Here is a 26,221-nt window from a genome sequence, read left to right as displayed (position 1 = left end):
AAAAAGATTTAAACTTAGATTTTATTAAATATTAAAATATTTGGGTTAACCTCAAATGAATAGACAGAGGATGCATTATTTAAAAATTAGTAGATGGAAGAAATTGAGCAAAGAACAAAATTCCTTAAAAAAACACACATTTTGTTGGGTTGCATGTTGTTAGATTGTATTGTGGTATTGTGTTATCCATATCACTGAGATTTTCTTATCTAAATAAAAAATTTCTTTCAGATTCGAGTGCCAAGAAAAAGCTTTCTTTATTTGGGGAGGTTTTCTTTACGGTATTATTTTGTACCTATTATAATTTCATGTATGCTTTTGCCACCAGGAAGCCCAGCTTGAACATTGGCCTCCATTTTAATAATTATGTAGGAACTAGCATTCTACACATCTTTGTAATTCTAATTCCTCCTCCCATCTTTGTCATCTAACATTTATTTTTATTTTTCTTGATCCTGATTTTTATCTTGTGTTCTTATCATCTGTCTTAAATGCTTTGGAACAACTTAAGTAGGAATAAACCAACATAATTGAATGGATCAATAAATAAATATAAAATGATTAAAGCAAATAGAAGATTGACATCTGGGAAGTGGAAACTCTTTTGCTGTTTTGTTTTTTCATTAGTGTCAGCACAGGGAGTGTGGTATGGGTTAATCTATCCGTTTTGAATCAGTTCATCAAACGTTGGAATTTTAAGCAGTTTGTCTATGCTTGAGGTTTTGGGTAGCTGCGGGCAGTGCAAATCACTAACAGGACAGGCAAAATCTATTATGAAAAGGAGAAACAAAAAATTATCACCTCACATTGCCAATACTTCATTGATCATTTTTTAGGGCTAGCAATACTATAATCCTAAATACAATAATATGTGTATATTATTTGTTCATCATTTATGAAGAACTCAGTTTGGTTTCTCAAACAGAAATTGTCATCAGTAAAGAACCTGCCCTGCTTTCATACAGTGAAACAGTTGAATTTGTTACAAGATTTTGTCTCACTGGATTCATTTTGTGCTAAAAATAATACCATTTCGCAGACCAATCCCACTCAAAAAAATCAGTGGAACACAGAAAAAGAACACAGAAAATAAAAATGAAATAAAATAAAACATGATGACATTTCAACACTACAGTGTAGGTGTTATATGGGAGGAAGGCAACAATGGGGTGACCCCAAGAATTAGGCTATGAAGGGACATAGCCCTTTGCCAGCTGAGCACATATAATCGGTCAAAACAGTATGCAGTCACATCTTCCAGAAAAAAGAAACTTCACTTTAATCTGTCTTGATTAAAGACATCAACACGTTTAAGGCAAGACCATGTCAATCAGAAAGGGAATTGGTGAGTCATTGAGGTTTGGGAATGTGTGACACAGGAAGAGTCAGTGAGGCAAAGTCTGGCAGTAGATGCGTGAATACTGTCCAGGGAAGGGTCTTCCTGGCCCCAAAGACAGCCCTTCTGGTCCAAGAGGCAGACAGAAACACATGGTGGAAATGGATGCATCATGTAATTATAGGCTGACCCCATTAAACATCACCCTTGTTGCTTGCCAAGCAACTTTCTGTTAAATTGGCTTCCGTGCAGTTTGTCTAAGAATGTACTTGCCAGGCTGATGCTAATGCTCACCTCGTAAAAGATACCTTGCCTTTTAATGACAACATTGGCAGTCTGCTTATTATTCTTCAGCTTCTTTCAGGCACTGACAAGAGTTTCTGCATCTCTGAGACTGAAGGCCTGACCCTGGTCCCTGGTGCCTTCATCATGGAAAGGAACACTTGCCTTGGGAGCCAGCATGCCAGTCTTCCCTGCAACAGCTGACCTTCCCCAGGGACCTTCTCCGTGAATGTTGACAACCAGCAATCATTTTACTAATGATGAGGATGATGTTGTTCCAGTGAAACAAAGTATTATAAGGAGGTTTCTTATCAGAGGGAGAAATGTTCCAAAAGGCATAGGGATCGGCACCAGAACATGGACTTATCCTTCCTGTTATACAGCTCACAGGGATACTGGTGATCTCACTGCCCTCAAAGGTGAGACAGGCTTCAGCCCTTGAGGGGGTGTCCTCTTACCTCCCTAAGTACTTGTAGGCCTTTATAGAGGGTCTCCCACCATGACTAGGCCTTGCAAGCCCCACAAGGGCATACTCACCTTGGCAGAACCTGATAGCTGGATCATCTAAGGGAAGCCCATACCTGAGATGCTCAGCCCCTACTTAGCTCTTGCTGCCACCAACTCAGTACTAAAGAAACCAAAACTTTCCCCATCCCCTAACTGGATATTTATTTCAACGCCAAAAGGAAAAGTATGATAGGGTTACACCTTTTTTCCTTGCTTCATCTCTTCTCATCTAAATTTGGAAAATGTTCTAAGGTTGAGTACTGAATGTTAATTATTTTAGAAGATGTAAAGTTTCCATTAAAAGATTTCTTACCAGAATGGTGACATTTCCAAGTTTTTGAGAGTCACCACATTTCAACTGGCAAGGAGTGTTAGCAAGACTTTGGCTTTATCTGAATCTGGTAGTGATGAAATAAAATTATCAAAGAAAAGACGTCAGTTATTGAGTGCTACTCTTTTTCCTCCTTTCTATACACAATAAGGTTTGAAGAAATTAAGTGACAGACTTGGATTAACACCTGGTTCTCCAGACTGCTGGTCCGGTGCTCTTTCCACTTTCTCATTGAAATACAGGGCTGTAAATGAAGCTCTTAGTTTTATGCTTATGGTGACCCCAGGTAATAGAAGTATACTCCATAGTTCCTTGGCTATTTTCCTCACTCTTGTCCAATTCAAAGTCTCTTCTTCACATTCCTCATACCCCAAATGTCTGTACCTTGGGCTATAACCCACACATGGTCATAAATAAATACCTGCAGCTACTCCATGGTATCAGACACTTTCTCCCTCTCTTCCCCCAACTACTGGCTAACACCACATCCTTGGGCTCGAGTACCACTTTTGCTGAGCCTAAGAGATATCTGAACTCCCTAACATCTCAATCAGTCTGAGAATGTTGATGCTTCCAAGGGTCCTGCTGTATCCACAGAACATTATTCTGCTTGTTCCAGAGATCCCACCACATCTGCGAGGGACCACTGTCATGACTGCTGGAATCATCAGTACCTCTGTTGGGAACCAGAGCTGTGTCTACTACATACCATTGGCACATCACCTGAAGACCATGGTCATATCTGTTGGAGGCCACCGTTACATCCATTGAGTATCCTCTGATGCTTTGGACACTGTGAGATTCCAAAGCTGGGCAGCATTTAAAGCAAAGTTTGAGACGTTATCTCTTTCCTGGTTAGGTGGGACATATGTATTGTAGGAAGTGGTGGTGGTGGTATCAAGACAACACTGTGCTGTATCCCAAAGCCTTAAGGAGTTTTTACTGAAACCATTCTTTTCACAATTTACTTACAATCCCACCTCTACATGGGACTCAGTGATGAATAACAGGCAAGCTGGGCAAGGAGACATAGCCAAGAGCTGGGCTCCAAGCTATGTCTGGAATCTCTCCTTCTGGGGTTTTGTTACTGGATCAAGTTGACTTTCTTCTTACCTTATGGTAAACTTCCTTCAAAGACGCTTAGTTATGGGGTATCTACTATTAGAACTGTCATTTATCAGTGCTTACTACGTTTTAGGCCCTATGCCAAGAACGAATTATACATCATTTAATTCTCACAATAGCCTTGTGAAAGTATTATTATATCTCTATTTTACAAACGAGGAGATGAAGTCTTAGAGGGGATACAGACTCTTCCAGGGCCACAAACCTAATAAATGGTAGAGCTGGGGTTTAAACCCAGACCTGTGGAATACTGGAGCCTGCTTTCTCAACCCCATGCTACATGGCCAGGGTGCAAATATACCCTGGGCAGGCTGTCACCTACCCACTATCACACATGCCCAGCTACAGCTAAATCCCAGAGGCAAACATAAATAGGACTCAAAGTGGGGCCCTTCATGGAGATATCACTTTATTCTTAAAATATGACAATGCAGGATCCTGGCTAGACCCCTTTGGGTTTAAGAAATTACACACATTTGGCCAGGCATGGTGGCTCATGCCTGTAATCCCAGCACTTTGGGAGGCTGAGGTAGGCAGATCACCTGAGGTCGGGAGTTCGAGACCAGCCTGACCAACATGGTGAAACCTGTTTCTACTAAAAATAGAAAAATTAGGCAGGCGTAGTGGTGGGCACCTGTAATCCCAGCTACTTGGGAGGCTGAGGCAGGAGAATCACTTGAAAACAGGAGGCAGAGGTTGCAGTGAGCCAAGATTGCGCCATTGCACTCCAGCCTGGGTGACAGAGCGAGACTCTGTGTCAAAAAACAAAACAAAACAAAACAAAAAACAAAAAACAAAACAAAGAAATTACACACTTTTGATGGCGGGAGAGGGCAGAAACTTGCCTTGTTTTGAGGATCCCTTGGCCTTGCCGATATGCAGCTGAGAAGTCTCATGTGTTCCAGCACTGAGTTTCTGGGAGATGATGGGGATGAGGGCACAGGGGAGAGGAGAGAGGATGTCTAGCAGAGTCAAGTGCTGTGCAGGAGAGTCCCAAGACGGGGCCAAGTGGGACCTCGTGTGACAGCCCCAGTCAGTAGGGGTAGAGATTTTCAAACACACTTTAATCTGAAGATAGAATGCCACTACTTAAGTAGAGTGAAATTTCCTGAGTTGTGAATCTGGATCTTAGTTCCAGCATACTTTGCAGATGGGATGAGGCTTTCTTATTAGGTGTATTTCAGGTGTTTGGTGTGGGGACACTCAGATTGTCTCAAGTGATGGACACTGATGGCCAGGAAGCCAAGGCAAAGAGAGCCCAGGAAATCAGAGCCTTGGAGTGGGCCTGTGAGGGGAAAAGTGAGAAGCCCTGAGTCTTGATAAGCTTCTTAGCTTCAACCTCTAGTTGAAATTTGCCTCTGGGGAAGAGACCAAGGACACCTCTAGGAGCTCATCAGCCATTTGAGAAGTCAGACATTTTATGGCCCCTCCTACTCCCTCTGTTTGGGTTTCTAGAGTTTTAATGTGTTTTTCCTGTTGTACACACCACATACCCTCTCCTGTCCACAAGAGGACCACCACATTGGTTGGTTAGATGCCCACACTACCTCATACAGTGTCACTACCAGTCAGAGTTTTATTACCAAGTTTCCTCACAGGCTACTGATAATCTTATGCTCATCCTAGAGGTGGTGGCTGCTTTATGTTAGTTTCCAATCCCTGGTTCAATCAGTGGCAGAGGCTGGTCTGGCTATTTTGTTCAGAAAGAAGGGGAGTGGGCCCTTAAGTATTTCTTGGTCTCCTTCCTTTATTTTTATTTTTACTTTTAAATTTTATTTATTTATTAATTTTTATTTTAGGTTCAGGGGTACACATGGAGGTTTGTTATATAAAGGGAAATTGCATGTCATGGGGGTTTGGTGCACAGAATATTCTGTCATTCAGGTAATAAGCATACTTTGGTCTCCTTCTTTTAAACAGAACATTATTATGTTGAAAATCCAAGCAACACTAACAGAAAGTGATACATTTTAATAGTGCTTTCTTGGGTCAATACAATTACTGTTTGGGTTTCTTTCTTTCTTTTTTTTCTTTTTTTTTAAGAAACAGAATCGTTTCTCAGCATATTTTATCTTTTACCTTAAGTGACTTTTTCTGATATGTAGCAGGTCTTAGGAAGAAAAGCATCTAAATATCAGTTGTCCTTGTGACTTGGGGTTTCAGGTGCAGGTTGGACGTGTGTCCTCAGGAGCCCCTTCCTGCAGAGTTCTGGGGAGTTGTCCCTGGCTCATTCTGAAGCCTACCTAAGTTTGGTGTAGTCCTCACTATTTAAAATATATTACTGGATAAGCAGTTTCTCAGTTGTTCTTATCCCATTTTTAGCTCTCTTTCTGCTTCTGTGTTTGGTGGGTTGCTTTCCTCAATGAAGTGGTTTTTGATCTACAACAGTCAATAAGCTGAACAAATCAAAGAATGATTTTCCTTCCCTCTTGTGATTGCTCCCCAGTATCCCTTCTCCCTTCTTCCTTTTAGTGCTAGCTAGGCATAGGGCCTCCTAGCTAGAGACTGTATTTCCCAGCCTCCGTGGCAACTATGGTGGCTGTTCTAGACATTCTAGATAATGAGGGGTGAATGGAAGTGGTTTACCCTTGTATTAGTCTGTTCTCATGCTGCTGATAAAGACATACATGGGACTGGGTAATTTACAAAAGAAAGACGTTTAATGGACTTGCAGTTCCACGTGGCTGGGGAAGCCTCACAATCTTGGCAGAAGGCAAGGAGAAGCAAGTCACGTCTTACATGGATGGCAGCAGGCAAAGAGAGAAAGTGTGCAGGGAAATTCCCCCTTTTAAAACTGTCAGGTCTCATGAGACTTATTCACTATCACAAGAATAGCATGGGAAAGACCTTCCCCCATGATTCAATTACCTCCCACTGGATTTCTCCCACAACACATGGGAATTCAAGATGAGATTGGGGTGGGGACACAGCCAAACCATATCAATGCTATTTCCAGGTCACATCCTGTCCCAGATGCTCTGCTGTGCTGCCATCTGTCCAACTGCAAGGCTACTGGCTGACAGCTCCCTTTGAGAATTGCCTCAGCTAAGAAAAGTCATCTCATTCAAGGTCACATCCCTTTCCTGGAATGGCTTGCAGCCAATATCTGGTCTCATCCCAGCTCTGAAGGACCAGCTCAGCTTCAACGCCCCGTATCAATTTGGATGAGACCTTGTTGTGACTGTACTGCAGCTTAACTTTTCCATCTTCCCAGTTCTGCTTCCTTCCTTTCCTCCAGTGGGTGATAATTCATGGAGCACCCCATAGTGAACTTCCTGTACACTAATCTCCATCTCAGAGTCTGTTTCCTGGGGGACCCACCCAGCAACACAAATTTAAAAGAAAGCTATTTGCTGGCCTCTCTGCCTACCTTTCTACAGATTGGGACAGAGTGAGGGTAGTGGTGAGTGAGCTTTGACCATGTGGATGAGGAGAATGTCTTAAAGGGTGGGAAGCAACAAGATAGAAAGTACTTGGGTCAAAGTACCTTATTTAGATGGCTTCATGGATCAAACTTTCCACAAACTCTGAACCACTGACCACTGCATACTTCTACCCTGGTAGGTGAGAGAATTATCAACTTTGATCTCATTTGAGCCACTCTATTTTTTTGATCTCTAACTTAGAGCAGCTTAGCATATAACTTGGAGTTGGGGAAAGTGTAGTCTGCTCCAATCAGATAATTTAGGACCTTGTAGACTGCAGTAAGGATTCTGGACTTTGTCTTAAGGGTAATGGGTTTTTGCTGTATTTCTAGGTGTTGTGTATTATGTTTATCCAAGAATGAACTGTAGATCAGAACTGAGTTGCTTTGTCAGTGCAGTGGTCCAATCATGGTTCATTGCAGCCTTCAACTTCTGGGCTCAAGCAATCCTCCTGCTTCAGCCTCTTGAGTAGCTGGGACTACAGGCACATCCAGCTAATTTTTTTTAGGGGGTAGGGTGTGGGTAGAAACAGGGTCTCACTATGTTGCCTGGGCTGGTCTTGAACTCCTGGCTTCAAGCAATCCTCTTGCTTCCTCCTCCCAAAGTGCTGGGATTACAGGCTTGAGCCACCAAGTCTGGCTGCTTTAACATAACTTTTTTTAAAAAACAATATAGCTAGGACACTTGGCCCCTAAATTTAGTGAGAATGATTCAAAAGAATTTTTTTTGCATTATCCTGAGAAAAATACAAAATTGTAGATGTCAATTAATAAAGGCAGAATAAGAAGTTCATGTATTCTCTTTGGAAACTTGTTTGAATCACTGTTTTTTTTTTGAGTTTTTCTTCATTGGAAGTAGATTTGATTTTTCACTCCAATCTGGCAATCACAAAGAATTTGAGTGGAAAACAGGATTATGCTGGAAATTCCTTGGAGGAAGGAATGCTTAGTGACTCTCACTACACAACCGAAGAGCAGTAATTAGAGCCACAAAGACTCTAAACGTTAATTCCTTAAAAACTTCCCCATAATATGTATAACCACATTAGTTTCTTGGTTTAGACAGCAAAATAAATTCATATGTTTTCTTGGGTAAAATAGAAGGAACAACACTTTAGCAAAATTCCCTGTTGAATTATTTTCTGAAAAATCAAACAGTAAACAGTTTTCCTATTCTGATTCTCAATGCATCTCTTGGCAATTTGTTTTTTGGACACACACATATAATTATTCAGCTAGGTGGTCTAGGTTGGAATTTCAGTTATTGCTATCCAAATAAAACACTCCTTTTCCAGAAATCAGCAGACTCTGTACTAACTGTTCTTTCAAAGCCTTGGATGAAGTCTATATTGGGAACCTGAGCCGTGTCATGAGTACTTTCTACTGCCTTTTTCTCTCAAAGCTGCTGGAGCAAACAGAAGCTTCTGTCATAGAGCCTCAGACTGCAAAATAATCCCACGTCTACCAGCTCTCTAGTTCCTCAGCCATTTCCATTGGTGCTTCTCCCATGATATTTTAAAATAAAGGCTACATAAAATATGGCTTTCCTCTTCTTTCTTCAAGATCAGGACAAGTTAGTTTTCTACTAAGATATTAATACATATACTGTACTTATAAATAAGCTTCTTCCCTCAGAACAGGGGTCCTCACCCAGGGATGATTTTGTGACCCCCTCCCCACCAGACATCTGACAATGTCTAGACATTTTTGGTTGTCACAACCAGGGTATGCTACTGGCATCTGGTGGTAGAGGCGAGGGGTGCTGTTAAGCATTGAACAATGTACGAGAGCCCCTCACAACAAAGAATTAACTGCCCCAAAATCAATAGTGCCAATGTTGAGAAACCCTGCCTCTGTGAGATTTGAAATTGTATTGAGGTATTTTCCAAATTAATTGGCTATCATATGTACTTTGGATCTTATTCAGGGGCAGTGTTTGGAAGCAAATTTTGTCCTTTAGATTATAGTTGCCATACTTAACAAATAAAAATGTGGGAAGCCAGTGAGTCGAGATCGTGTCACTGCACTCCAGCCTGGGCGACAGAGTGAGACTCCATCTCAAAACAAAATTAAAAAAAAACAATAATGTGGGAAGCCCGGTTAAGCTTGAAATTTTTACTTATAAGAAAAAATTACCTGTTATTCATATGAAATTCAAATTTAAGTGGGCATCATCTTATATTTTATCTGGCAACTCTGTCTTAGATGGAGACATTTGCCTTAGTTTCTCACTGGTAGACCCACATTTACATCTTAATTTAAACCACTGATTGTAGCTGGAAACTGCTTACTATTTTTCTATGTTAATATAGTACATAAACAAAGTATCTTTCAGAAAGATAGTATTACTATAAACACAGCCTTAAAGTATCATTAGTTTCTTCTTTGAAAATTATACCAATTTGATTTTCATTGACACCGACATGATGTGTTAATAAACTTTTTAATGCTTTTATGCTGTGCTAGAAGTTGTCCACATTTATTCCAGACCTGGGCCCAGTTTGTTGTAAGATCTTACCCCAAATACACAAATCAGGGTCTTTCATTCTCTTTTCTTGTAGGAGCATCTATTGCCTTAATTACTCTCAAAACCAACTAATTACTATTTGAGAAGAATCTGAATAATTGATATTCATAAAATCCAACATGCCATCCACATCAGTAGAAGAAAAGTGACAATAATGCCCCAAACAATGATATTTCAGAGCACTGTGTGTTATGTGCACGAGCCCAGGGCTAGGGGTCACAAGCCCGGCATTTTGGTTGAGGTTCTGCCACTGGCTTATACCTAGTCTCTCAATGATTCTCTGGGCTACAGTTCTATTCACAATTTCCACCCCCGAGGCAGATGGACCCCAAGAAGTACATCACTTGACAGAGTGCGAGCCTTGAGGTAGAACTTGAGTGAGAAACAGGATCTGAGTAGTAGCCACGTTCTGCAGACAGGACACACATGGTGGACGGTAGTGGGGACACCTGCTTCTTAGAGGACTGGCCACGAACACCAGCCACCTAGCTTCATGGGGCAGACGAATTCCAGGAGGCACAGGGATGCCCCTGCACAAAGCACCACTGTGCTGGCTTTGGGCAACACAAAGGCTGCCCTTTGAAGGCCCGCAGACCACAGATAGGCATGGCTGGGACAAGTAGGAGCTGACACAAAATATCAGAGTTGGAAAAAATTACTACCATAAAATTAATTTAGTTCTTTTAACCATGCTATTGTATATGTCTGTGAAATTCATATGAAAAAAATAAACTTAATTACTCCCTGTTAGTATCTAGTCACATTATGGTCAAGTCTGGGTCTGCACGTTTATGGGCTATGGAATTATGAATGAGGATGAACACTCCTAAGCTTTATCCCATTGTTCACTGGGCATCATTGACTCTTCCTTGTCTCTGCTCCTTCTGAGACTGTATCTCCTTGGTCTCATATTCTTGAGTGTAAGCTCCACAAGGGAAGGAATTTTTGTCCACTTTGTTCATTTATGCACCTCAGGCATCTAGAAGAGTGCCTGGCACATAGTTGGTGCTCAATACATGTTTATTAAATGAATGAACAGCATACCCCTTTATTCTTTTTTAAAATTCCTTTTTATTTGTATAAATATATGGGGTATAAGTGTAATTTTGTTACATGCATAGATTGCATATTGGGGAAGTCAGGGCTTTTAGAGTATCCATCACTCAAATAACATACATTGTACCCATTAAGTAATCCTTCATCATCCACCCTGCCCCCTTTATTCTAAACCAGCTCTTGCAATGGCAGTGAGACTCCTTTTTGGGCCATTCCCTCTTCAGACATTTTAACTCCTGTGGGACTGCCAGCAGGGTGATGTTGAGGTCCAGTGTGGAGAAGTGTCCAATCTGACAGTGAGTGGCAAGACAACCAAAGGGAAGAGGCCTAGTTCCAAAAAGAACTAGAGCAGAGGTGTATTAGTCCATTTTCACGCTGCTGATGGGCAATTTACAAAACAAAGAGGTTTAATTGGACTTACAGTTCCACATGGCTGGGGAAGCCTCACAATCATGGCAGAAGGCAAAAAGGAGCAAGTCTCCTCTTACATGGATGGCAGCAGGCAAAGAGAGAATGACGACACAAAAGCGGAAATCCCTGATAAAACTATCAGATCTTGTGAAACTTATTCACTACCATGAGAACAGTACAGGGGAAAGCACCCCCATGATTCTCCTACCAGGTCCCTCCCACAACATGTGGGAATTATGGGAGTACAATTCAAATGAGATTTGGGTGGGGACACAAAGCCAAACCATATCAAGAGGGAAGCTGACCAACCTGGAGGAAGGAAACCTCCATATTTTATAACTATGAGGGTAAAAGAGTTTCCCAATTCCTTTTCTGGAAATCTTTACTTTTCAGGAAAACTATAATACATGCTTTAGTTTAAAAACAATGCCACAGGCCGGGCATGGTGGTTCACGTTTGTAATCCCAGTACTTTGGGAGGCTGAGGAAAGTGGATCACGAGGTCAAGAGATCGAGACCATCCTGGCCAACATGGTGAAACCCCATGTCTACTAAAGATACAAAAATTAGCTGGGCATGATGGCGCACACCTGTAGTCCCAGCTGCTTGGGAGGCTGAGGCAGGAGAATTGCTTGAACCTGAGAGGCAGAGGTTGCAGTGAGCCGAGATCGCGCCACTGCACTCCAGCCTGGGCGACAGAGTGAGACTCCGTCTCAAAAAAAAAAAAAAAAAAAAAATGCCACAAACAAAACATACCGTGTACCGTGTTCCAGGTTATAAACATCTCTAACATATGTCATTTCTCCAGAGTCTCACAGTGCTCTGCCAGCCAGGCAGAAGAGGGATCAGGTTCCCCTTTATACAAAACAGGACACCAAGACTCAGGGAAGTTAAGTGAACTGCTCAGGCCAATACACAGCAGAGCCTGGACCCCAGTTCTCTAGAATTCACATCTAGTGCTCATTCCTCCGTGCACACTCTTTTTACAAAGTTTAAGATGCTTTGTGGTTTGGGTATATTAAAATACATTAGAAGTGAATTAACTTATTCACAAACTTGTCAGGTCTTGTAAACTAAATTTGGAGTACACTTAATTCAGATAACTGCAAATTTGCTAATTAAATTAACCTTTAACTATGCTTATTTGTATTACACACGGAAATAACAAGCGGCTAAACCTTGAGAAATCCATAATCTATTTCTTTTTGCAAATGTATGAAAAGCTGGAGAATATTAGCGTAAAAGGAAGACATCTACAATGTTTTCTGAATTTTCTGTTTAGTAGCATTAAGGCACTAAAATAAACATTAACAAAAGGAGCTAAGAACAATAAGGAAAACCCACCCTGTCCCAAGATATATCAAGGGCAACTTTTCCGTGTGACCTTTGTTTAATTACTGTCATTTTCTGAGCTCTTATTATTATTCTAAATTTTAGTTTTTTGTTTTGTTTTGTTTTTTTTGGCTGGGCGTGGTGGCTCATGCCTATAATCCCAAGACTTTGGGAGGCCAAGGAGGGTGGATCACCTGAAGTCAAAAGTTTGAGACCAGCCTGGGTAACATGGCGAAACCCCCTCTCTACTAAAAATACAAAAATTAGCCGGGTGTGGTGGTGGGTGCCTGTAATCCCAGCTATTCAGGAGGCTGAGGCAGGAGAATCACTTGAACCCGGGAGGCGGAGGTTGCAGTGAGCCAAGATCACGCCACTGCACTCCACCCTGGGTGACAGAGCGTGACTCTGTCTCAAAAAATAAAATAAAAATAAAAAATAAATAAATTGTTTTTTATTCTTTCACTTGCCATGTGTAATTGAAAAGTGAAAGTTACACATGGTAAGTGAAACAATAAAAAACAATTTAAAATTTAGAATAATAAGAGCTAAATAATACGAAAAGTTGTGGCTTTGCTCTAGTGGATAAACACTTCACTAACCTTTTATCTGTTTGCTTGCTTCTAGTCTTTCCTGAATTTCTAAATCAAACCCGTAGGCCACAGTGGCAGGAGACTATAGCAGATGAGAAGCAACAAGGGGCCACCCTAGTGTCCTGCAAAGGTCTGAGTCTGCGGGACCCAGATCTGCATCTCCAGAATGAACACAGAGAGATGTTCCAGGTCACCAACAGATGGGAGCACCTACCTAGAAGGCAGAATCCTGACTTCCCTAGGCCAGTCCAATGTGGTGCTGGTCCCACTCACAGAATCTGAACAATATCATTTACACACATTCATCATCCTTCTAACATGGATAATCTAAAATTTTCCCATTTTCTCCATTTTGCAGGAGAAAACCAAAACCCTAAATCAACCCTGAATGACACCTGAAAAACCTGGCTTCTAGTTTCAGCTCAGTCATGGTGGATGGGGTTCCCTGCGAAAGCTACTGTCAAATGTGGAAACTGAGGAATCTGACTAGGAGATTTTCAGAACCCTTTTGGCTGTAACGCTTAGTTCCCTTTATCTTCATTCACCTCTCTGGCCCTGAATCATGCAGGTCACATTAGCAACATCCCAAGTATGAATGACCCTCCCTACTACTTACTACCAGATCCTCGCTGTGCTCAGCTACACTTTTAATTTTAAAGAAACAGACTTGTAGAAAAATGTTTAAAACCCGGGATACATGAAGAGCTTCTCCAGAACCTCTCAACAAGCGGCTTTTGATGATAAATACCAGATGCTATAGAGGACGATTAACTATGCAGACAACTTGCATGTAAATTATACAGTAACATAAGAAGGGGGTCTTCAGAGATATGGGATTTCATTTTGAATTTGGCGAAGGCATCTGCTTCTGTCCCCAAAGGGGAGTAGTTTAGAGCTGCTTTAGGTTCATTCATACATATATACTCATTGTTTTTGTTCTTTTCTTCTTGAGGGAATTGCAGGTGCTCTTTTTTTCTTTTTTCTACTGGAAGAACTGCTTTATGTTGGCTGGAGCTGTTTTGTGGCTGGGAAGTAGAGATGAGAATACCATGGCAGCTGCTTGAACCATTTGGTGAGAAACAGGTAGAGAGCTACTCAATCAGGGTAAGAATTGATAAGGAAAACAGCATGATGTGACCTCTAACCTAACCCTTCCAAAAGCTCACTAGGTTCAAAACCATTCCTTCCCTTTTTCTCTCTCTCCCTACTTACTTCTCCTCTTCTTCTCATCCTCTGCCCCTCTGATCTCTTTCTTGCGCCCTCTCATTTCCCTAAATATTGCCCGAATCTCCAATTCACTTTTAAAAGTTTATGAAATGTTTGTAGTATTTAGGCATTTATAAAGGTATAAGGAATAACTCCAGAAACATTAGTTCCTACTACTTAAGTTTGCAGTATTCAAACTGCAAATTACTGAAGCCTCTCCTATATCCCTCTCTTAATAATATCGATTCCCCTACCCTTTCTCCATCCCAGGAGTTAACCACAATATTCTACTTGCCACCCACTCACCTGTAACAGATCATAATATGGAATTTTAAGAAAACACACTTGTTCCTTAGTGAAAAATGTATATTCCCTGTTCTGTTAAGAATCAGGGAATTTAGTTAAAATTTTAAAGAGAAAGACAACATGTTTTTGTTTTTTTTTTTTTCAAATGATCTTTCGTTAACATAACAGTTCCTCTACCCACCTCCTGCTGTAAGGGGTATGCACTAATTAAGTTTCCCAGCACCATCAATGCTATTTTGTTCAGAAGTCTTTTTCTGATTCTGTGTAAATTTTAGACTCTTTTATTTTGTTCTTAGGTTTTCCTTTTTTTTTTTTTTTTTCTCCCTTCTGGAGTTTCCTCAGCTGTCCAGTGTTTCTCTACTATCTCCAATTACAGGACTCACCACAATGCCATTTACTGCTTGGACAATTTCTTCTTGAATATGAAATGCTCTCTCTCCCTGCACTCTGCACCAAGTGATTACAGTTGACTTTCTCTGCACCCTTTCTATTTAAAAGATTTGATGAAAAAGCATGAACATCGTTCACATTAGGATAGAGCATGGGGGTCACTGGGAGGGGACTTCCCAGCTTTTCCGAGGCAGCATGACTGTTATACAAGGCAAAGGTCTTTGGTCTCCTGTTTCTTTTTGGGACATGCTAATGGGTTAGGGGCAGGAGAGTCATCCTTAGTGACTGGGTCTCCCCTGACATCCATTGAGGGTATGTCAGTCTCCAATGCTAGGGCTAGGAGAAACCTCTGTTTTCATTAGGCCCAGCAGATGTGTCTTGGTAGAGGTGCCCTTGAGGTAGTGTGGCCTCAGATTCACATCTTTGTCAGGCAGCTACTGAAGGTAGTGGTTAGATACCAAAGAACAAAACGCCTGTTGTAGGGTACCCACCAGTGTAACCCCAGTATTAGATGCTGGTCAGTTTGTCATTTCACTATTAATGATAGTTAACAAAAGCAGACTGCATGGTATGGTATAAAATATGGGACTAGAAAATGTCTAATCATTGGACTCAAAGTTCAAATTGAAAATAGAGATACTACACTGGCTTTTTCCAAATAATGCTTTTATTATCTTCCAAATTAGTATTGTTTTTCTTCTTATAACTTATTTACATCTTTGGTAAATGGTTAATTTGAAGAATGTCTATGAAGTAAATATGGTTTAATGTAAAAATCATGGCTTTGGAGACAAACAGAACTGGGCAAAAATCCTCATGTAATCACTTTTTGAAACAAGATATTTACCCTTGGTGCCTCCAACTCCAAATTCCTTTGTGTGGGTAAATAGGCCTCTGACTGTGCCTGCAGTCTTATTTCTCATCATTATCTACCGCTCACTTTACCCTCCTGAAATGTTGAATTATACGTAGTTCTCAGACCACAATATACTATTGCTCTATTCCATGTTTTTACTTCAGCTGTTTTCTGTCTGGAACACCTCCCCTGGTACACCTCCTCCAGGAGTGCTTCACTGACACTGTTTCATCCCCAAGCCCTCTGCAGATGGGTGAATAATTCCTCTTCTATAACCTCATAACACTTAATTAATCTCCAACAGCACTCACCACACAAGAGTGGACGTTACTGTGTTTATCTCCTCCATGTACGCCATTCAGTAACAAGAGCTACATCTGATTGATCTTGGTATCACTGGTGCCAGCATTTAGTAAACTTAATAAATATTAGTTGGATTGAAAGGGTTATATCTGCAAAACGAGTATAATACTATCCCTTCAGTTATTGTGAGGAAGAATTCAATAAATGCCACTGCCGGTTCTGTTACCCAAACTTCTAAAATATTTCTAAAACACGGCAACAAATATGTAGTACGTGCAAAGAAAAGATATATTGACAGTCACCTCTAGATGTCGTTTTTGTACTCAAAACATTTTCTGGAGAAAAATATGTTCAACGGAGTTGTAATTATATTTGCCAATTTTAAGATATCATCTGGCTTATGAAATCCAAATAAAGAGATGATGCTCATGGATCAGGTGAGAAGTCTTATTGAGAGTCAACTGGTCTAATTTTTGTAAGCTGTTGGTGATGTCCATAGGTACAAGTTATCTCGAAGAATAAATCTAAAACTAAGCTGTTTTAAAAACAGGTCCAAATATATAATGAAGACATCTACATATAAAAAAAATCAGAGAAAGAAAATCTTTTCTTTAAAATAGAGACCCTCTGGGAATGTTTTCTTTGGCCTCAGGAAGCTTCTACCACAATTCCCGCCCGTAACCCTTCCTCCCCTCACCAGTGCACACACATACGCTCTCTTGGAAGCCTCTCTCCTGGATATTTACACTGAGTTACTGTTCCACACTGGAAATACACCTCTCTGGACTTGATTTGCTCACTCTCATCTTATCCTTTTGGTTTTCAGCGCTATGATTAACCTTGAATGAAAGTTGAAGGTCACTTAATTATCCATACCAACAAATGGAGAAAAAGGCATATAAATTATGCTTATTCATGACAGCCTTACTGTCCCATCCCTAGGATGGAAATGAGAGCTGGGAAATGGAAGGCTGTGGTGGCAATAACAGAAGGCATGACATATTAGGAAGCCAAAAGATGGAAATGCCTTGTAGTCAAGGGGCAGCAAAAGGAGGAAGACTCCAGTTACTGGGTAGATGTGGGAGAAGAAAATGCAATGGAAAGAGAGGACACAGACACCTGAGGAAACTACCATAAGGAGGGGTAGACTTTGTGGTCAAAAGCAAAGGGTAACTTTGAGACATTTGAAACTGAAGAAGCAATAAAAGTTCTGTTCTTGTAATAGTTGAATATGTTTTGTGTCCATCAACTATAAGCATCTATTATGTGCCAACTAAATGCTGTGGGGGATATAAGAGTTAGTTCCTGCATTTGAAGTAAAAATGAGTATGCAGCTTTATGCAGGTGTAATCAAATGGTGTAAGTACAGTAATATAAATTAATAATAATTCATAAGTATTTACATACTGAGACATTTTATCAAGAAGTTAATATGCCATTCTCCCATATACCTACTCAGTATACTTCTTGGGTTGATTTTAATGTTGTTGCCTCAGCACCTTGATGAATAGGGGAAGCAAGACAGTTCCAAAAGCTATGAACAATACCCAACTGTAAACACCATTTCAAACTCATTGGACCCTGTTCTTTCCTCTTCCTAACTCACTTCCATTACTCAAAATGTACGCTAATTTCTTTTAGTTTGCTAAGATGGCATTTAAAGCACTGATGTGAGTAATGACTGACATTTCAAGAGGAATTTCCATAAACTGAGGTATCAGACCAGATATATCTCATTTTACACAACTGACATGATTGTGGATTGAGAGAATTTTTATATATGGACTATTTTTAAATGCTAGGAGACTTTGCTGTTTAAAGCGATTTATGTATAAAGCAAAGAATCCTCCAATAATGAATCTTTCCTCAGGCAAATTTTAAAATGGCAGCATTTCACAAGGCAGGATTTATTTGTTCTTCATTATCGATGGCAGCCTATTAATCTGGAAAAGTAATATAACTCCCTATAAACAATACACATAATGACTTAAGTTCTGAAAATAAGATCATTTTATACACTCATTTTTAAACATTTCAGAAAATGGGATCATATCCATAACTTTTTCAATTACTACCATAAAAAAAGGAGGCATGTGAATTTACTATTTTTGCTCCCTAGTAGACTTGGCTAATCCAATGGAGGAAATATGAATAAATACATCTATTTTTTCCTGTTTGGTGTAAACAAATAAAGCTTGATATAATTATTCCTCACAGGGATAGTATAAGAAATGGATAAGCTATAAACTGTTAATGGGTTTAGAATTATAGTAATTCTTATTATGCCATAGCCCTTAATTTTAGTAATATGGCTGTAAGAACTATTGATCCAGCAAATATACATATATTCAAACAAAGCGTTTTAATATATTGCTTTTTTTTCTTAAAGAAAACTTTGAAATGTATCTTTAGCCAAACAGAGAATGCTGGATTGTTTGTAGTTTATATTAAGGATTCCAGTGATTTCCAAGGTTGACTGAATCCCAGGGGTGTAGTGGGGTTACCCAGTCCTAAGATGATTTCCTGGAGAGCATCTTTACTCCCGGCTGTCCATCCTTATTCATTGTTACTGATTCTAGAGAGCCATGTGGCCACTGAACATAGCTCAGCATCACTTCTGGGAAAACATTTAAATGGCATGGTCTTGCTGATGAAAAGATGTCCGAAATACAAAGTTCCATGAAGGCAGATGGTCCACATTTTTAGCTGCCATCTGGTTGAATGCTCTGGATATTTCATGTGCCCATTTTTTGCATCACATGCCATTACATTACCTTTAATTCTTTTTAAAAACATCTAATTTCAATTAAGTATAGACTCACAGGAAGTTGTAAAATAAATGTACAGGGATGTTTCCCCCAATTGTAACATCTACTGTAACTATTGTACGATATTAAAATCATGAAAATGACATTGGTACAAACCACAGAGTTCATTCAGATTTCACCAATTTTGGGTCTGGGTCTACGTCTGTGTTGCTATGTCTCTTTTTCCTTATAAGGTCACCTTTATTAGGCTGTTATCACATTGCTACAAAGGAATACCTGAAACTGGGTAATTTATGAAGAAAAGAGGTTTAATTGACTCACAACTCCACAGGCTCTACAGGAAACATGGCTGAGGGGGTCTCAGAAAACTTACGATCATGGTGGAAGGCGAAGGCAAAGCAGGCACGTCCCACACAGCTGGAGCAGGAGGAAGAGAGAGAAAGGGGAGATGCGACACATGTTCAAACAACCAGGACTCATGAGAACTCATTATTATGAGAACAGTAAGGGTGGAATCCCTCCTTGATCCAATCACCTCCCATTAGGCCCCTCCTCCAACAGTGGGGATTACAATTCGACATGTGATTTGGGCAGGGACACAAATCCAAACCATATCAGTTACCAATCACTGGATTTGCAGTCTATCCTAATCCAGTATGATTGGGTTGTTTTCTTGTTGTAAGTTTTAAGAGTTATTTGTATGTTTTGGACCCAAGTCCTTTAACAGATATATGTTTTGCAAATTTTTTTCTCCCAGTCTGTGGCTTCTTGTCATTCTCTTAATAGGAAATGTTGTATTTTTATTATCAATTGTATATATTTCTTTTCTGTTGACACTTCCTCTCTGACCCACTGATTACGTAGAAGTATGTTAATTTCCAAGTTTTTGGAGATTTTACTGTTATCTTTCTGTTATTGACTTCTAGTTTAATTCCAGCACAGTCAAGTAATATATTCTGCATTATTTCATTAAAAACTTTTGTTGAGGTTTGCTTTATGACTCATAATAGCCTACTTTGGTGAATGTTATATAGGCTCTTAAAAATAATGTATGTTCTGCTGTCACTGGGTGGGGCATTCCATAAATGTCTATTAGATCCTGTTGTTTAATTCATCTATATCTTTGCTTATTTTTTGTCCAGTAGTTCTATCAATTGCTGAGTGTCGGGTATAACTATAGCTTATGTTATAGTTAAAATTATGGATTTGTCTATTTCTTCTTTCACCTCTATCAGTTTTTGCTTCATGTATTTTGAAGCACTGTTGTTTGGTGCACACATTTGGGATTAATATGTTGTCTTGTGGACTGATCCATTTATCATTATGTAATGTCCTTCATATATACACACACACACACACATACACGCATACTACTTTTTTTTTCCTGATCAATGTTTGCATGGTATAACTTTTCCATCCTTTTAGGTTCCATCTACCAATGTCATGTTTGAAGGAAGTTTCTGAGGGACAGCATACATTTAGCTTAGGTTTTTTATCCACTCTGCCAATTTCTGTCTTTTAATTGGTGTATTGAGATCAACTTTACATTTAGAATAAGTCTTGGTATTTTAGGATTTAAGCCTGCCATTTTGTTACCTGTTTTCTGTTTATTCTCAACTTCTCATCTCTCTGACTACCTCCCCACTTCCAACCTATCACTCCCCTGCTGGCCCCTTGCTTTCTTGTGGGTTACTTGGACTTAAAAAAAAAAAAAAAAACTATTTTGATTTATTTAGTATTTTTGAGTATATCACTTGTATAGTTCTCTTAGTGGCTACTCTCAGTATTATAATATACATATTTAACATCACAGTCTATTGGTATATTAGGTTTTACCACTTTGAGTGAAGTATAGAAATAAGGCTTCCGTTATTTCCATTATTTACTTCCATTATAAGGTCCTTATTTCCACCTAGGACCCTTTACAAACCTCATTTTTTAAGTATAATTGTCCTATTTCCTCAACATAAATTCAGCACAATGTCAGATTATAATATTCTCATTTTGGTTTCATTTAATTCTTTTTCATACAAAAGACAGCAGGTTTACTATGCTGGAGGAGCAAAATGAATCCCTATCAGTATATATTACTGCCTGATCACCTTCACATAGCTACCAAATACATGAACTTGGCTTTTTATGCTTCTGGGTAACAAAGTATCTTTAGAGGAAGCCACACAACTGTACAAATTTAGCTAGACGTCAGGATGGCTGAGCCCCCATCATGCTGAAGCTACAGAGTTCATCTTCTTTCAATTCCTGGGGCAACTCCTAGGGTACCATCCCTCTTCTATCATCCTCAGGACCAACTTTTAAGTGGTACTAAAATCCGGATTTCCAAATAAAACTTTTAAAATAATTGGTAAAATATAAATTGATCTTGTTACATTCTGGGGCCAACTTTATTTCCATTTAAAAAAACTGAATGAATATTTAAAGAATATCTGTTTAAAGAGGCACCTAATCATTAGCCTGCCCATGGCTCTCCCTTGATTTATCGCCTTAATACTAATTTACATTTGACCTTTACGACTGTCAGCAATGCTCCCATTTACTTTTTATTAACCCCTGATATAGTCTCTAAATTATTCCGCCTTTTTTTTTGTGTGTATGTGTGACAGAGTCACTCTGTTGCCCAGGCTGGAGTGCAGTGGTACGATCTTAGCTCACTGCAACCTCTGCCACCTGGGTTCAAGCGACTGTCTTGCCTCAGCCTCCTGAGTAGCTGGGATTACAGGTGTGCGCCACCACATCCAGCTAATTTTTTTTTTTTTTTAGTAGAGATTGTGTTTTACCATGTTGGCCAGGCTGGTCTGGAACTCCTGACCTCAAGTGATCCTCAAGTGGTCTGCCTGCCTTGGCCTCCCAAAATTCTGGGATTACAGGTGTGAGCCACTGTGCCCAGCTGTCTTTTTAAAGCCCCAATCTCTTTCTCTCAGGCACTTTTATTTTTTTTCTAATGTAATAGGGAAATTTGAAGGTAACTGATTTATCTACTCAGCATCCCATAGTTCCCCTTGAAACTTCCTCCAGTGTCAGAAAGAGAGCATGTCTCTCATTTTCAATGCCTGCCAGCCCCGCTGCTCAAGCTCCGGATCTCAGCCTCAACTCTTAGGGCAATTTCTAGGATCCCATCCTTCTTCTCTCCAGCATCTTCAGACTTTTACTCATAATAGCCAATTTTGTCCTCATATGTGTGTAGATTCACCATGTCGTCTCTTTCAAAAACTTTGAGTCTTTCAGTCCTGTCCCATTTCTCTTCTTCCTTTATCAGTCATATTCCTCATGCTCTTAGACCTGTCCTTATCGTTTATACCCTTTTCTCCAGTAATCCCTTGCCACTGGATTTCTAACAACCTCCTCTATCAAAAATGCTCAGCGGAAGGGTGCCAAGTGACCTTCCTCCAATAATATTCAGCAGCATTTTCCACCACACTTTTACTTTATTTAATATAGTTTATGGGTTTATAAAATGCTTCTTCTTATAATGTCCATGTAACAATAGCTGTCTACCTCCCATCCTTGACTATGTAAATCCACTAATATTGTATTTGGACTTTTACTTGTCTTTACTTTCTCAAAACTATAAATTCCCATGCCTTCCAATTCTGGTTCTCAAGTTAGTCAACCAATACTCTCCCTGAGCAGTCTCCAGCTTATAACCAAACCCAGCATTCGTTTACTCATCTTCAGATTCCTTGCCATAGTCAGTCCTGTTTCTATGCCTTCACTTATATAGCACAGCCCATATGCAATGCCTTACTCTGTGCCAATCTAAATGCAACGTACCCACCCTTCGAGATCAGCTATCATCTTCTTTCATTAGGCCTTTGCCAAGCATTGCAGTACATTCAAGCCTTTGTCTAAAACCATACTAGACTTGTCTTCTTGACAAAATGGTACTTCCTAATAGTCTCTAGTTAGTTCAAATATGTGGGCCTTGTTTCATCAACTGTGCCTCTAAAAGCTTGAACATAAGTTTTTGCACAATCACGGCTCACTGCAATCTTCTCCTCCTGGGCTCAAGCCATCCTCCCGCCTCAGCCTCCCAAGTAGCTGAGACTATAGGCACACACCATCATGCCCAGCTATAATTTTTGTGTTTCTGTTGAGACAAGGTTTCATCATGTTGTCCAAGCTTGTCTTGAACTCCTGGGTTCAAGTGATCCTCCCTCCCAAAGTGCTAGGATTACAGGCGAACATAAATTTTTATTCCCTGACAGGCTTGCAGTGTGCTAGGCATACAGAAGCTGCTTAATGAATTCGTTTAATGGTGTAATACTAAACAAATATTATTTACATAAATAATAACAATAATATCATGGCATTGATATCTCCACTTTGGGTGAAACTGGGCTTTTTAATGGACTACACAGGAGGCTACATGAGGCAGTATGACACAGTGGTTAAGAGTATAAACTCTGAAGCCAAAACTGCCTGGGTTCAAATCTTGGTTCTACCACCTACTGGCTATATGGGTACTGATATTTTCTTCTATTTTCAAGGAGGGACACAAAGATGTTAGTTAACCTTAGGAAGGTACCTGTGTCATGAAATCATTATGGAGATAAAGCAAGTTATGTTAGATACTTGAAACAACTTCTGGCATGTAGAAATTGCTCCATAAATGTCAGAAATTATTAAATGTTCATTACACATAAAATGATAGCATCTCAGAGATAAAAGAACTTTTGCTTTATAAATGAATGAGCAGAGGTATCAATGTAAAATGATTGGCCCAAGCGCATATGGCTAATCAGAGGCCAAGTCAAGAACTCAGCTCTCCTTTTTTCTATTCAGTGTTTGTTCTTTCCCCTCCTTAAGGATTTTATATCTGAACACAAATTACAGAATCTTCAAGTTCAAAGGGATATTTAAGACTTTACAATTTAATTTTCCCATAAGGGACCATATACTGTACCATCATTTGTCACAAACCTTTCATCTTTCCCAACAGCACCATTTCCCAGATTCTTAATCACCCAGACAAAAAGAGCCTAACAAACCTTGCACTGTGGCTCCCAAGTTAAGAAACACATGAAGGATGGGTATGGATGCCAAGGTCAGGTTGCCTGAGTTCAGATGACTATCACCAGATGAAACCATTCTTAATGATCATCTTTTGAAAAATAAGATTTCTTTTTTGGGGAAAACACTGTCTGGGATACTCATTATAAAGCTGTGATTCAGGCCATCCCACACAAACATGGATGTTTTGCAGACAGTATTCTTCCCGGTAGGAATCTGAAGTTATGATTTAGATGAACTCTGAACAATACTCTAAAACAGCCAGGAAAAGGCACAGGAGCCAACTAACCATACCAGGCATAATTTCTGAAGGCTTCAATTTTCTGTGTGGTTCTCTGGAACAGTATTCAGCCTGTTTGTGCAATCAGCTATGTTAGAGTTTTTTAAATTCAATCTAACAGATACAGACTCTCAAGAGGAACTGCAGCAATAAAAGATTGCTATTATCTATGCACTAATAAACCTGTGTGTAAGGATTCTTTCATCAGATGCAATGACATGCTATTCTGTCTCAATTCAACACTAAGGGAAGAGATTTAATTTCTCTTTAATGCAAATGAAATCACTGTATGTAGTAGCAGCAGTACGGAAGAAGGCCAAACTGAGTAACTGTGTTATGTGTCCACTAAGAATGTTCATTCACTCCTCTCAGTCCTGCTACAAACAAGGCTCAGGAAATCCACATTCTTTCTGTATGATTGTTTTAAATGCCTGAATGTAGTATATGGACCCTCAGCTTTATGGCTTAGGATTTTCTTTCCCCCTGCCTTGCCTTTGTCAGTCTATGGTTTGACATTTCTAACCCTCAAAACAGGGAGGTTCCATTACAATCTGAAAGTTGAATTACTTTACTTTCTTTATACTGAAGACTCAACAGATAGTCTCCACTGATCACACAGAGGATGCACTGTCCCTCCTTTGTGTTTCTGTAGTATTTTGCTTATATTTCTAACCCTACTCGTGATTATCTGACTTGTTACACCTTGGTGTGTGTATATCTCCTTTGTGCACTGTAAACTCCCGAGGACAGAATTCATGTTTTATATATTTCTGTATTGTTCCAGAACCTTATGATGTCTAAGACATAGGAGCTGCTCAATAAATGTTTCGACAGTTTTAATGGTACATATGTTATGCATTTTCCAATTATACAGTTATTATTAATGAATTCTCATTTCTGACATATCTCTTTTTCATTTCTTAGAACTCTTGGTTTTGAAACATGTAAAAAAGACTTTAGCAGGCTGGCACTGTAATTTGAATGATTATGTAAACAGTAAGGGAGTGCCTAGCAAATATTTGTTGAATAGTAATTTTACGAAAAGTTGCAGAGGTTTCTTTTGAGTTTTAGTTAAGAAGATCCGACCATCTCAGTGGAATAGAGGAAAGAACTCAGAGGCATGACTGCGAGGGTGTCCCAGAAAGACTACTGTGCCTTCTAGAAAAAAGACCCAGCACCCAAGTTCTAACTCTGAGACCCAGTCATATGTTTGGATCATAGCATTTCCAAGACCAAAATTTCCTCTTTAATAGTTTTTCTGAGAAACTGTCAGGTTTAACGTCAAGAAACATTTAGTCTGTGCTCATTAGGCCCACAGACATGACGAGCTACATGATTTGAGGGGCCCAGTCCAAAATAAAAATGCAGAGCCCCTTGTTCAAAACTTAAGAATTTCAAGACAGTGACGGAAGAGCATCAGCCAAATGAGGAGCCTTTTTAAGCACAGAGCCTTGTGTGGCTGCACAGGTCCCAAACCTATGAAGCTAGCCCTCTTCTGTGAAAGGCAAAAGGTCTGTAGCTAGGGAGAGAAGCTACAATTCAAATATGCACAAGGGGCTACAAGAACCCAGAGCTCCTAACTTTGTAAAAACATCACAGGGAAGGTGAGTTAAGCTCATTTTTGAGGGAGCAGCTGCATAGGGAAGAAAGATATTCCAGATTGAAGGACCAGCACTGAAGGTGGGCACAATTTACCTGACGTTCAGAAATACTGTAACTTTTAAGCAGGGTTGTGCCAGTGAACATGAGGGTGAGAACAGGTTGAGGCTGGAAAGGCAGGCAGAGGCCACATACATGGGAGAAGGGGTTGAACAATTACTGAGTGCCTCCTGTGTGCCAAGTTCTTTCTCTCCGACATTGTAAATACCACAATCTTGTAAATACTGGGTCATCCCTGTTTTACAAACAGGTTAATTTAGGCATCACACAGATTTAATGTTCAAAGGGTTTGGAACACTCTAGGGATCTAATAAATATTAATATTTGAAGAATTACTGGTGGGTCTGACTTAAGGCACACAACTCTTACCCTTTAGGCCAAGCTGCTCCTAAGAGTTCTTCTTAATCCCTCCAGTCGTTGTTTCTCTCATCTCTCAAGAGCCCCCAAATTACCCTTCCCTCCCTTAGCCACGCCCCCGCGTTTCACGTGCCGGAAATTAGGAGGA

The 26,221-nt window shown here is 39.9% G+C and overlaps 1 protein-coding gene across 2 annotated transcripts in view; it reads right to left on the bottom strand.

Moving 5' to 3' along the window:
- The window catches only part of THBS4 (thrombospondin 4), a 91,956-nt gene extending 65,790 nt beyond the window's left edge, over positions 1 to 26,166 (bottom strand). The window contains exons 1-2 of one of the 2 annotated variants that reach the window (NM_001306213.2): positions 26,086 to 26,166; positions 19,071 to 19,166 (exon numbers count right to left, since the gene is read on the bottom strand). The gene's annotated coding sequence lies outside the window, so the exon portion shown is untranslated. The remainder of the gene's footprint in view (positions 1 to 19,070; positions 19,167 to 26,085) is intronic. The other variant, NM_001306212.2, reaches the window with a different exon arrangement.

The sequence above is a fragment of the Homo sapiens genome, chromosome 5, assembly GCF_000001405.40.
Source record: "Homo sapiens chromosome 5, GRCh38.p14 Primary Assembly".
NCBI classification, from domain to species: domain Eukaryota; kingdom Metazoa; phylum Chordata; class Mammalia; order Primates; family Hominidae; genus Homo; species Homo sapiens.
The sequence above is the reverse complement of the archived record's forward strand: the minus strand, read 5'-3'. Positions and strand labels throughout refer to the sequence as shown.